General features: G+C 36.9%; 1 annotated feature.

Annotated features, from left to right (window-relative positions):
- Window positions 11,907-14,279: an enhancer, noted in NCBI's record as "VISTA enhancer hs1220". NCBI's record gives its function as "enhancer in: branchial arch[4/5]" and the evidence as "EXISTENCE:transgenic organism evidence [ECO:0001131][PMID:17130149]".

Here is a 14,496-nt window from a genome sequence, read left to right as displayed (position 1 = left end):
TCTCTACAGAATGAAAGTTTTCCCCACAAGAGATAGCTTTACAGGGGTCATTTCAAAATATGTCTAAGAAATATATTCTGGGGTAAAACATACAGTTTCTTTCACGGACTGCTATTTGTCTTGTGATGCTATACTAAATTTGGTATCTTATTGCTACAAAGAATCTATTTTATCACTCTTAAGACCTCTATTTTAATGTTAATGTTGGTCAATTGTACCTGAATTCCAAAGGGAGGAGACTGTAACAAGGCATGTCTGAACGCTCCTTTCTATCATGGCCAGACTAGTTTATCAGGTTTACCTTGGAATGCCCTTGGCCCACAAAAGGGATCTTTTCAGTCACTTGGGGGGCCTAGATTTTGTTTTTGATTTACAATGCAACTTTATTTCTCATTAGATGCTAGAGTCAACACTTGGCCTCCAACTCCCACAAGAGTTGTGGCATTTTCTCCCCATTGCAATATACTCTAGGGAAACCCATACTCCCAAGAAAAAAAAATGGTTTTGTATGGCAAAAATTCTTGGGTTTTTTGTTGTTGTTGTTGTTTGCTTGTTTTTTGTTTTTATCTTAAAGACAGTGCTTTCAATATTTTCTCATTAAGCATATATAATATTTGCTTTGGGCTTTTATAGACTGTATCAATGTTAGGAAGTTTCTTTTCTTCTTCACTTGCTAATAGTTTCTGTTTTATTGAATCTTACCAAATGCTTTTTTTGTATCTGAAGACATAATCTTGTAATTTATCTTCCTTAATATGCTGCTATTTTAATTACACTAATTGATTTTCTAATATTAAATTATGTATTTTTGGACAAACACAAAATGCCTTTAATGTGTGGTTTTTATACATTACAGGATTTGATTTGCTTAGGATTTCTGCATCTATTTCCAGGAGTAATCTGCTTATTTCTTTCTTGTACTGACTTCTCTTGAACTAGTTTGATAAATGTATCTTAAAATGCTTGTAAATTTATTGATATAAAATTATTGATTAGCATCTTAAGTTATTTTAATATCTCCTATGTCTGTAGTTATACCCCCGTTTCCATACTAAATATTATTTTGTTACAAGGAGCACCTCTTCTTATTTGACAATTTTGCTAAAGTTGGCCTATTTTATTCATTTTTTAAAAATGCTTTGTTAAACCTTTCTAGTAAATATTTATTTTCTATAATATTGATTTCTGCTTTTATTGCAATTCTTTTCTCCAATCTTTTTTCTATTGTTCTTTTTTCTAACTTATAAAGTTGGAAATTTATACTTTCTTCATTTCTAACAAAAGCATTTAGAACCATACATTTTGGTCTAAATTACATTTTAGCTATATCCCAAAGTTTTGATATGTAGTATTTTCAAAATAATTCAGGTGTAAATACTTTCTAAAATAATTCAGGTGTAAATACTTTCTAACGTTCATTAAAAATTACTTGGAGCTTTGCTTTTTAACTTCCAAATGTTTGGGAGTTTTGTAGTTTTTGTTGTTTTTTACTAATGCAATTGCATTGCAAGCAGAGTGTGGTCTTCATGACACTAATCTTTGAAATTTGTCGAGGTTAGTTTTTATGGCTTAGCACATAGTCAATTTTCATAAATGTTCTAGATGTGCTTAAGAAGAATGCACATGTCACAGTTGTTGGGGGGTGTACTTTAATGCCCATCCCCTAGGTTGAACTTGTACTTGGGCAGTTCAAATTTTAATATCCTACTAATATTTTATTTGCCTAATTTATCATTTACTCCATTATTTAAATTATTTCAATAATAAGGTAGGCTTTCAATTTATCTTGCAGTCCTGCCAATTTTTTCTTTACTATTTTGAAGTTATGTTGTTAAGTACATAACAATTAAAATTGTTGAGTGCCTGTGACTTGAATTTTTTGTCATCATAAAATGATTCTCTTTATCTGTTTTCTATTTGATCTGAAATTAATATTTCATACCAGGCTTCATGTAGTTAGACTTTATCTGCTATATCTTTTCCCCTACTTTGAATTGCATATTTGTCTATCTGTAAATCTCCACTGCATCTCTTGTAAACACACTGAGCATATATAGTGCATACAACTGGATATTAACAGACTGAAAATCTTTTTCCTTAACTGGGGAGTTTAATATATTTACATTTATTTTTATGTTTTCTATGTGTTCTACACTTTCTGTGTTTCTTCTATCTCCCATTTGTCTTAATTTTTCTTTTGTAACAAAACAAGATTATCATGATAGGTAAAAGTATGTATGTTTTACAAATTAATAATAATAACTGGCACCCTACATTGAGTAATTTATACTAATATATATTATTCTCTTTAATCTTTACAATAACCTTGTGATGTAGTTACTATGATATTCTGAAGTATGTTTCCCAACTTGGTTCCATTCTCCCCATCTCTTTCAGGTACCCCAATCAGTCGTAGGTTTGGTCTTTTTACATAATCACATAGTTTTCAGAGGTTTTGTTTGTTCTTTTTCATTTTTTTTTCTAATCCTGTCTGCCTGTTTTATTTCAGCAAGGTAGCCTTCAAGCTCTGAAATTCTTTCCTCCCCTTGGTTTATTCGACTATTCATACTTGTGGCTCCATTGCGAAGTTCTCCTGTTGTGTTTTTCAGCTCCATCAGGTCATTTATGTTCCTCTCTAAACTGGTTATTCTGGTTAACAGCTCCTGTAATGTTTTATCATAGTTCTTAGCTTCTTTGCATTGAGTTAGAACTTAGCTCCTTTAGCTCAGTGAAGTTCATTATTACCCACCTTCTGAAGGCTTCTTCTGTCAATTTATCCATCTCAGCCTCCTCCCAGTTTTTGCTGGAGAGGTGTTATGATCATTTGGAGAAGAGGCACTCTGGTTTTTTGAGTTTTCCGTGTTTTTAGTTTTCTTTCTCATCTTCATGGGTTTATCTAGCTTTGATCTTTGAGGTTGCTGACATTTGGATAGGGTTTTTGTGGGAATGTTTTTGTTGATGCTGTTGTTGTCGTTGATTTCTGTTTGTTTTTATTTTAACAGTCAGGCCCCTCTTCTATAGGGCTGCGGTTTGCTGGGAGTTCTCTCCAGACCCAATTCAGCTGGGTCCCTCCTTCACCTGACGATGTCACCAGTGGAGGCAGCAGAATATCAAAGATGGCTGCCTGCTCCTTCTTCTGGAAGCTCTGTCCCAAAGGGACACCAACCTGATGCTGGCGGGAATGGTCCTGTGTAAGGTGTCTGGTGGCCCCTGTTGGTGGGTCTCACCCAGTCAGGAGGCATGGTATCAGGGACCCACTTAATGAAGCACTCTGGCTGCCCCTTGGTGAGGGTACACTGCACTCGGGGGAATTCCTCTCATTGGGAGTGCCTGGATTCCTCAGAGCCAGCAGGAGGAAAGACTAAGACTGCTGATCCCTGGAGACTGTGACCGTCCCTCCCCACTGAGGCTCCTTCCCAGGGAAATCAAGAGTTCTGTCTGTGAACTCCTGGCTGGAGTTGCTGAAATTCCTGCAGTGAGGCTCCACCCGGTGAGAAGGAATGGGTCAGAGTCCAGCCTAAAGAGGTAGTCTGGTCACCATCTGTCAGCTGCTGTGCTGCACTGTGAGGAATTCCTCCTGGGTCCAAACTACTCAGTCTCCCCAGCGCCAGCAGGGGAAAAATGGCTGACTAGAGCTGTAGTGATGGCTGCTGCCCTTCCCCGCGGAGCTCAGTCATCTTAGGCAGCAGGCAGAGGCAATGAGGACTGATGCCCTTCACTCCAGGAACTCACTAGTCTTAGGCAGTCTGCAGCTGAGTGGCCACTGAGAATCTGCACAGCTCTGTGCTTGGGACCCAAGGCCCTGGTGCCGTGGGCTCACGAGGCAGATGTCCTGATCCATGGGTTGCACAGATCCATGGAAAAAAACGTGGTTTCCCAGGTGGGGTAGCACACTCACTCACTGCCTCCCTTGGCGGGAAGTGGGAGCTCCCCTTACCTGTGTGGCTTCCGGGTAGGCTGTCACTCTACCCTGTTTTTCCTCGCTCTCCATAGGTCGTGCTAACCATCTAGTCAATCCCAGTGAGAGACCCTAATACTTCAGTTGTTGGTGCAGGATTCACTTGCCATTTTCATTTTTCTCAGTGGGAGCATCTGACTGCAGCTGTTTCTAGTCAGCCATCTTGGCCCCTCCCCTAAGGATTTTTTGTTGTTGTTGTTTTTGTAGAAATCCTAATGATTTCTTTCTTCCTTAATAGATTATCTTGTGCTCCTTGAGGACCTCTGCCATAGTGGTAGTCATAAGAGCAGGAAAGAATTAGAATATAAAAGAGTAGGAAGAAAGTATTATAAACTTAAAATGTAAGCTTTGCTTGAGAAAAGTCAATGGAAACTCCAAGGATTTGAGCCTGTGGGTCTGGGTGAATAAAGTGTTAGTAACAGAAAGAGACAGAAGAGCAGGGAATTACGAGTAAAAATGTTAAACTTTTTTGGAATGTATTGTGTTGTAGTTTCTGGTGTGATATCAATGTGAAAAGTGGCAAACAATTGGAAATTAACACTTGGAATTCAGGTGTTGTTTGCTGATTTGATTGTTTGGATACACCAAACATTCAAACTAAACTAAACTAGTATTTAAAATAAAAGAGACTGGTGGCAGGTGCCTGTAATTCCAGCTACTCGGGAAGCTGAGCCAGGAGAATTGCTTGAACCCAGAAGGCAGAGGTGCAGTGAGCCGAGATGGCCCCATTGCACTCCAGCCTGGGGAACAAGAACGAAACTCCGTCTCAAAAATAAATAAATGAATGAATAAATAAATAATAAAAATAAAGAGAGACACTCAATTGTTCAAAGATATGTGTTAATTAAAGTGAAATTAATTCATAGTTATTTTCAGTTTACCAAAGAAAACAAATTAGATAAGACCCTTTGGGATCACTGAGGGTGTAATGAAGAGGGGAAGACTTCAAATAGGTCATTGTCATCAATGAGGAACACACTAAGTTAGTTTAAAACACTCACTTAGGTTGGAGCCTAGTCCCACAATGTTGAGCCTCATTCTTATTCCTCTTTCTGGTGGATCAGAGTGAACTATCATTTGAGAGTATGCAGTTTTGCCTCATATTTTCATTAACAATTATAAATTAACCAAAATTCAGTAAGGGAACAAAGAGTTTACCATCTTTGGCAAATCACATTTTTTTTTTTTTTTTTTTTTTTTGAGACAGAGTTTCGCTCTTGTTGACCTGGCTGGAGTGCAATGGCACAATCTCAGCTCACCACAACCTCCACCTCTGGGGTTCAAGCGATTCTCCTGCCTCAGCCTTCCGAGTAGTTAGGATTACAGGCATTGCGTCACCATGCCCGGCTAATTTTTGTATTTTTCTTAGAGACGGGGTTTCTCCATGTTGGTCAGGCTGGTCTCAAACTCCCGACCTCAGGTGATCTGCCCACCTCGGCCTCCCAAAGTGCTGGGATTACAGGCGTGAGCCACCACGCCTAGCCCCAAATCGCATTTTTTGAAGGTGTAATATTAAATGGCACAATACTCATAGATAAACAATATGAGCAAAGTACAAAATGTGCCAGCCGGGCACGGTGGCTCACGCCTGTAATCCCAGCACTTTGGGAGGCCGAGGTGGGCGGATCATGAGGTCAGGAGATCGAGACCATCCTGGCTAACATGGTGAAACCCCGTCTCTACTAAAAATACAAAAAATTAGCCGGGTGTGGTGGCAAGCACCTGTAGTCTCAGCTACTCGGGAGGCTGAGGCAGGAGAATGGCGTGAACCTGGAAGGCGGAGCTTGCAGTGAGCCGAGATTACGCCACTGCACTGCAGCCTGGGCGACAGAGCGAGACTCCGTCTCAAAAAAATAAAAAATAAAAAATAAAAAATGTGCCCAGGATCCTCTGTCTTCTGACAGTTTGTCTACCCCGCCAACTCCTTATTTTATTTGTGTCTTCATAGTCATTCTAGCCTGTTCTAATTTTGTCTTCATTTTTGTAATGAAAACTTTTGCAGGTCTTCAAGATTATATCTGGAACCTTCTTCTAGTTTGCCTTAACTTATCCCTGTTCCTTAATCCCAAAATTATTATTGGCTTTCTCTGAAGCATGACAGTGGTTACCGGTAAGGTCAGAAATTACACAAAATATTAAATGCCCACTTTTCCTTTTAGACAAACATGAAGAACCATCACCACTGTCACAAACGTTTTAACCCTGCTGCATTGGTGAAGTGCTACTCCTTACCTCTCAGCTCCCATGCTACTTAATAGCAAATCTGATTGCAACACCTCACATTATGAAGGTCTAAACAACATTTGGCTCTACTCTGCCTTTCTGAGATTTAAGAGAGGGACCTTAACTCTTTTAGTATGAAACTACAGTCACTTTCAGAAAGAGAGAATTTAAGCCGTCCTTACAGGAACTTCAAAAATGTCTGTAGAAGTATTCAGAGATGAGCACAAAGGGTAGAGAAAATCAAATGTAAATTATGTTTCCCTTTAATTTTCATGTGGGTTGTATTCTAAAGCAAACAATTGTACATTGGATGACTTTTGTGGATGATGAGCTGTTTCCTTCTGTCTTTCACAAGCCTCTGTGACAGTAAGGGGTATATAAAGCTCTGAGTGAAGATCTGAAGCTGTTATTAAAATGGAAATATTTAAAGCAGCCAGGAGTCTGTGAGAGTCTGTTCTGGTGACACATTAATGCATTTGAAAGGATATTAAAGCTTAACACAGAGGGGAAATAGTTCTAATGGCAAAATGTAAAGCTGCTTAACAGAATTACACCTAGAACTCTGTGTATTAGGTCTAAAATACCTCTACTCTTATATTACTCAGAGTAAAGCTGTATGTTGGTTTGAGTGCTTCTGCAGTTTTACAGTTTCCTAATTTCAGGTCTTAGTGTTTTTAAGTGCAAAAATTATGTTCTGGTTTATGCTTTTGTAGAGTCAATTGGTAGTGCTTCTCACCTTGTGTGTGAGACTTAAAGATGTGCCATGTTTCAACAACATTTTCATCAGTGTGTAAAGGTTATTTTTTTACAACAAAAGATATGAACTTGTCTTACACAGATTATTGAGAAGGGCCCATCATGCCACACAGTAGAGTGCATGTCATGTCTGGAAGTAGAAGAGAAGAGGCTTGATGAAAAACTAAGTCAGCACCAAGAAAGACGGCATGTTTCTGTTTGCATGAATGATTGTGACCCTATTCATATGCAAAAAAGTGGGATCCATTCACTAAATAGTTTTTCTTAAGCAAGAACACAAGATAAGAGGGCCCATAACTCACTGTCACGCTGTAGTCCTGACTTTTCTAAATACCCCTGAGTAATGGAGAGTCATTTTGATTCTTTTCATCCTTCACTGTACAACCCAAACTTGAATATCCCAGAGCATTCCATAAAGAAAAAATGCTAGAGAAACACTGAAAATATGTCTCTAATTTTGCTTTAAGATGCAAAATGGTAAAACAGTATAGAAAATAAGGTGTCTGTCCTTGAGGAAATTACAATTCACCTGCAGACATGAAATACTGTTACAGTGTAAGAATACTGGTGATTAGGTGAAAAATCTAGAAACTAGTACTTCTGCGTTATACGACACTATGTAGTAGAAATATTTTACCTGAGAAATAAATAAGCTTTAGATTCAAATTACAGATACTGTATTGCTTAAAAATACATACCATGATCTAATAAGATTATTGTATAAAACTACAGTATACTTGGAAAATATTGATCATGAGGTACAGATGCACAAGCTGTGCTGAACAAAAGATAAGTTAGGGAAAGAAGGGTCTGTATTTACATTTTTTAATATATACCATGTAGTAATTCCCAAATTAGGGTTAAAATATTTGTACTATCCACAGACAACTTCAATAGCTTATTCATTCATTACTTAAGTCTTAAAGGGAGGCATTTACTTTTCATGGTCAAATCAAGAAATAATTTTTAATATGTTTCATTTTGAACATGGGGTGAAAATAATTAAGAATTATAATGTATACTTGTTCTTATAAGAATTATACTTATAATGTTGATTTGAATTTGTTTCCTTTTAGCACTTTTATCCATGTTGATCCTAGTTATGCCCTTCCAATTAAATAATGTCTCTGATTACTTCATTTTATAAAGTTACTATGTCATAATAATTAAATCCTTGTGCTTTATAATCCCAGTAGAACTGATGTAAAACATGGTTTTCCCATTTGAATTTGCACAAATTAATTTATATAGTTACTATTATTCCTATTTTATACTTAACAAAACTATGGTCATAAATTAATAAATAAATGCCCATATCAAAAAGTTAGAAAGATCTCAAATTGACATCCTAACATCACAACTAAGAGAACTAGAGAACCAATAGCAAACAAACCCCAAAGCTAGCAGAAGACAAGAAATAAACAAGATCAGAGCGGAACTGAAAAAGATAGAGACAGCAAAATCCCTTCCAAAGAAAATCAACAAATCCAGGAGCTGGATTTTTTGAAAAAAATCAAAAAAATAGACCATGGGCCGGGCATGGTGGCTCTTGCTTGTAATCCCAGCACTTTGGGAGGCCAAGGCAGACGAATCAGTTGAGGTCAGGAGTTCGAGACCAGCCTAGACAACATGGTGAAATGCTGTCTCTACTAAAAATACAAAAATTAGCTGAGTATGGTGGCATGCAACTGTAGTCCCAGCTACTAGGGAGGCTGAGGCAGGAGGATCACTTGAACTCAGTAGATGAAGGTTGCAGTGAGCCAAGATCGTGTCACTGCCCTCCAGACTGGACAATAGAGTGAGACTCCATCTCAAAAAAAAAAAAAAAAAAAAAGACTGCTAGCTAGACTAATAAAGAAGAAAAGAGAGAAGAATCAAATAGACACACAAAAAAGATAAAGGGGACCCCACAGAAATACAAACAACCATCAGAGAATACTATAAACAGCTATATGCAAATAAACTAGAAAATCTAGACAAAAAGGATAAATTCCTGGAAACATACACCCTTCCAAAACTGAACAGTAAGAATTTGAATCCCTGAATAAATCAATAACAAGTTCTGAAATTGAGGCAGTCATAAATAGCTTACCAACCAAAAAATGCCCAGGACTAGATGGATTTACAGATGAATTCTACCAGAGGTAAAAGAGGAGTTGGTACCATTTCTTCTGAAACTATTTCAAACAATTCAAAAGGATGGACTCCTCCCTAACTCATTTTTCGATGCCAGCATCATCCTGATACCAAAACCTGGCAGAGATACAACAAAAAAAGAAAACTTTAGGCCAATATCCCTTATGAACATTAATGCAGAAATCCTCAATAAGATACTGGCAAACCAAATCCAGTAGCACATCAAAAGGCGTATCCACCACAATCAAGTGGGCTTCATCCCCATGATGCAAGGCTCGTTCAACATATGCAAATCATAAATGTAATTCATCACATAACAGAACTAAAGACAAAAACCACATGATTATCTCAATAGACACAGAAAAGGTCTTTAATAAAGTTGAACATCCCTTCATGTTAAAAACTCCCAATAAACAAGGTATTGATGGAACATACCTCAAAATAGTAACAGTCATTTATGACAAACCCACAGCCAATATCATACTGAATGGACAAAAGCTGAAAGCATTCCCCTTGAAAACTGGCATAAGACAAAAATGCTGTCTGTCACCACTCCTATTAAACATAGTGTTGGAAGTTCTGGCCAGGGCAATCTAGGCCAGAGAAAGAAAGAACGGGTACTCAAATAGGACGAGAAAAAGTCAAACTGTCACTCTTTGCAAATGACATGGTCCTATATCTAGAAAACCCCAGAATCTCAGCCCAAAAGCTTCTTAAGCTGATAAGCAACTTCAGCAAAATCTCAGGATACAAAATCAATGTGTAAAAATCACAAGCATTCCTACATACCAACAATAAACAAGCAGAGAGCCAAATTATGAATTAATTCCCATTCACAATTGCTGCAAAGAGAATAAAATAAATAGGAATAGAGCTAACAAGGGAAGTAAAGGACCTTTTCAAGGAGAACTACAAACCACTGCTCAAGGAAATCAGAGAGGACACAAATGGAAAGACATTCCATGCTCGTGGATAAGAAGAATCAATATCATGAAAATGACCATACTGCTCAAAGTAATTTATAGATTCAATGAGATTCCCATTAAAATATCACTGATATTCTTTACCTAGAATTAGAAAAAAACTAAAGTTCATATGGAACCAAAAGAGAGCCCACATAGCCAAGACAATTCTAAGCAGAAAAAAAAACTGGAGGCGTCACGCTACCCAACTTCAAACTATACTACAGGGCTACAGTAACCAAAACAGCATTGTATTGGTACAAAAACAGACACATAGACCAATGGAACAGAATGGAGATCTCAGAAATAAGACCACACAACTACAACCATCTGATCTTTGACAAAACTGACAAAAACAAGCAATGGGGAAAGGATTTCCTATTTAATAAATGGTGCTGGGAGAATAGGCTAGCCTATGCACAGAACTGAAACTGGACCCCTTCTTTACACCTTACACAAAAATTAACAAGATGGATTAAAGACTTAAATGTAAAACACACAACTATAAAAACCCTTGAAGAAAACCTAAGCAATACCATTTAGGACATAGGCACCGGCAAAGATTTCATAATGAAAATGCCAAAAGCAACTGCAACAAAAGCCAAAATTGACAAATGGGATCTTATTAAACTAAAGAGCTTCTGTACAGCAAAAGAAACTATCATCAGAGTGAACAGGCAACCTACAGAATGGGAGAAAATTTTTGCAATCTATCCATCTGACAAAGGCTTAATATCCAGCATCTACAAGGAACTTAAATTTATAAGAAGAAAACAAACAACTCCATTAAAAAGTGGGCAAAGAACACGAAGAGACATTTCTCAAAAGAAGACACTTATGCAGCCAAAAAACATGTGAAAAAAAGCTCAACATTGCTGATCATTAGAGAAATGCAAATCAAAACCACAGTGAGATACCATCTCACGCCAGTCAGAATGGCAATTATTAAAAAGTCCATAAACAACCGATGCTGGCAAGGCTGTGGAGAAACAGGAATGCTTTTATACTGTTGGTGGAAATGTAAATTAGCTCAACCATTCGGGAAGACAGTGTGGCTATTCCTCAAAGACCTAGAGGTAGAAATAAAATTAAATATCATTTAACCCAGCAATCCCATTACTGGGTATATACTCAGAGGAATATAAACCATTCTTTTATAAAGATATGTGCACGCATATGTTCGTTACAGCACTACTCACAATACCAGAGACATGGAATCAACCCAAATGCCCATCAATGATAGACTGGAAAAAGAAAATGTGGTACATATACACCATGGAATACTATGCAGCCATAAAAATGGAAGGAGATCATGTCCTTTGAAGGGACAGGGATGGAGCTGGAAGCCATTATCCTCAGCAAACTAACACAGGAACAGAAAACCAAACACCCCAAGTTCTCGCTTACAAGCGAGAGCTGAACAATGAGAACACATGGACACAGGGCTGGGGAACAATACACACGACGGCTTGTCAGGGGGCAGGGTGGGGAGGGGGAGAGCATTAGGAAAAATAGCTAATGCATGCTGAGTTTAATACCTAGGTGAAGGGTTGATAGGTATAGCCAACCGCCATGGCATACGTTTACCTATGTAACAAACCTGCACATCCTGCACTTGTATCCTGGATCTTAAAATTAAATTAAATTAAAATTTTAAAAAATACATAAAAGAAATGTGAAGATAAAAAACAAAAAGCATCCTTTTTTCTATTTGTACATATGTTTAATAATGTATATAGTATATTAACTCAGTAATGTGGGAGATTTTATATATATTATATATAAATATATGCACATATTCATATATATTATATATACCTAGCGAAATTTTTTTCCAGCTAAGGCTGTCCAATCCAGAATGGTAGAAGACCTCTCTGCTTCTCAACTGGCTTTTTGTAATAGACTCTGACTGGTCTTTCAGTCCAACTCTCAGCTCTGATTGAACCTGGCAAGAAAATATTGATTGGACATCTGGTACCCTTTGGCCCCAGTCCTTTGCTCTTGCCATTTCCTTACCTAAAATATCCTTCCCTTTCCTCTGACACATTTCCATTTTATACCATCCTTCAAGACTCAGTTCAGATGACCTCTTCTTGATCTTCTGCCTGAAGTGACCTTTCTCTCTTCTAAAAATCCATGGCAGGGATGTTCACAATTCTGCTATGGCAAGCTTCATAGTCAATAGTGATTTGTTTTTATGTATTTTCCCAAGTAGTTAATCATAAGCTCCTTAGGGAGAAAGTCCATTTTTATATACTTTCATACCCTCGACACAGCCAGAACAGTGCACATAGTAGGTACTCAATAATCATCTATTTAATTAAGTAATTGAAATTATGAATAGCAATCTCCTTAACTTCCTCCAAGTTACATTGCAATTTGTGTTTTTTTAAGACTACTTCTATTTTTAACTACAGTATATACTTGGTAAAGGATTTTACAACTCTCTAAATTAGCCCATGGTGATTACCCCTACTGTGCAATTTGCCACTATTTTATTAAAGCAAGATTAAAGATAATACTTCATTGGAAGAAGTAACAGCAGCATTAACCTCTATTTACCTTGACATAATAAAGCTTTAATAAAACATGGGCAAATTGCATTGAGGGGGATAATTATTCTAACATAAAATTTAAAGGGAATTTAATTTCTTATTCTTGCATGTTTAGTGCTTTAAGATTAGTGTCATTAATGTCCTTTTTCTCATTTATAGAGGATACATAAAAACATTCAACCCTCTCCAATTTGTTTTCTTATTAAATAATTCTGAATTTATATTCAAATTCATAAACATAAGAACATAATTTTAAATGTACAGTTTTTCAGAAGTAAGTATCCTTATAGAATGTCAGGGCAGCAAGCATTGTGTGGGAGAGATTTTACCCCAAGCCAAAAAAAAAAAAAAAAAACAACAACAAAAAAAAAAAAGCATCTTTGGCATCCTTGTCTAAATTTTTGAGTGTTGAATCAAGAAGATTCTTGTTTGTTTTATATCCTCTGGCTTTATTACATCAGACAAGCTTCAAAGGGGCAGAGCACATAGGATTGAAAAATAACACAGCTGCATTTTGCAATGGAGTGTTCTGCCTCTGCCTATGTTTTGTTGTTCATGTAATACTTTTCAATAAACAAAGATGTCAATCAACTCTCTTTGCAGCACATCACATTTCAGATTTAAACCACTTCAGACACATCACTGCCCCAAGCTCACGCATTTAACAGATAAAAATTCAGCTTTCTGTCAAGGCAGAATGCAGTATCGATTGTAGGTGGTATTTAGGCGAGAGTGTGGCAGAATAATATTACCTCTACAGTCACATATAGTCCACTATAGAAGCATAACATAAAGTGCATTAGGCTGCTTACAAAATTTTTTTTCTAATGGCTCAGCATTGATTAATAGCCATTTCCAAACACATTCCTAGGAAAGACTTCTACATGCAGCAAATTGTGAGGGTGGCAGAGGGGGGTTAGGAACACATGATAGCAATCATGAAAACTTTGATCACTTGATTTGATTCTAGTGCTTTGTAAATTAGCATAATTATTCAAACATGCTTCATTAAAAATCGTGACTGTACAAGTCCTTCAGTTTAATGATCCAAGTATATATCACGTGAGCCAAGCTTTAAATAAGAATACCAACTCAGTGCTAGGATGCTGTGAGAGATTTGTTCTTAAAATCAAGAGAAAGTGTAAAAACACAAACTCCAAAACCCAAACCAGGAAAAAAGAAATCTAATAGGCACACCAACAGTGCATGTGGTGGGTAATATTTTTCTATTTATCTTCACATCTATCTGAATGTCTCTTGAGGCCACCAAAGGTTAGATACCACGTCACTTCTAAGCTACTAGAAGATTGGCATACAATCCCTGTAAATCTCAAACTAATTACATTTGAATTTTAGGTGTCACAGCTAGTTTTGACCTTTGAAGGCTGGCAGAAGAAAAGTTTGACAGTTCTTAAAGTGTTCCCAGGTACTAAAAGAGGTTGTTTCAAATTAATGAAAGAAAGGGAGAGAAGCTAAATTAATGATGCCAAAGATATTAATAAGGCTACCGTTATTGGCATACATTTAATTATGTATCAGATCTCATTTAATAATGATGTCAAATTCACTTATAGTGCAGGTTATATAAGGAAAATAAAGACGGCATACGAATACAAGACACTCCATTATTTTGGTTGTTCTATTAATACTAAGTACTAACTTAGAGACATGTGAATTATATTCATGGGGTTAAAATAGAGAGTATGGGGGGATTAGTTTTAAGTTAAATTAATCTGCTCCTAAATCACTCAAATTTTGAAGCACAATGGATAATGACTAAGGCTCCCTGATTTTATGTAGTTCTTGTGATACATGGAGTTGGTTTAAGAATAGACTGTCACTTTCCACATCACTATTTTCTTGCTTTTGACAATTTATGTGGCATCATCAGACAGACATTTCAAAG

This window comes from Homo sapiens, chromosome 6, assembly GCF_000001405.40.
Source record: "Homo sapiens chromosome 6, GRCh38.p14 Primary Assembly".
NCBI lineage: Eukaryota > Metazoa > Chordata > Mammalia > Primates > Hominidae > Homo > Homo sapiens.
This window is presented reverse-complemented; position numbering and strand designations above follow the sequence as displayed.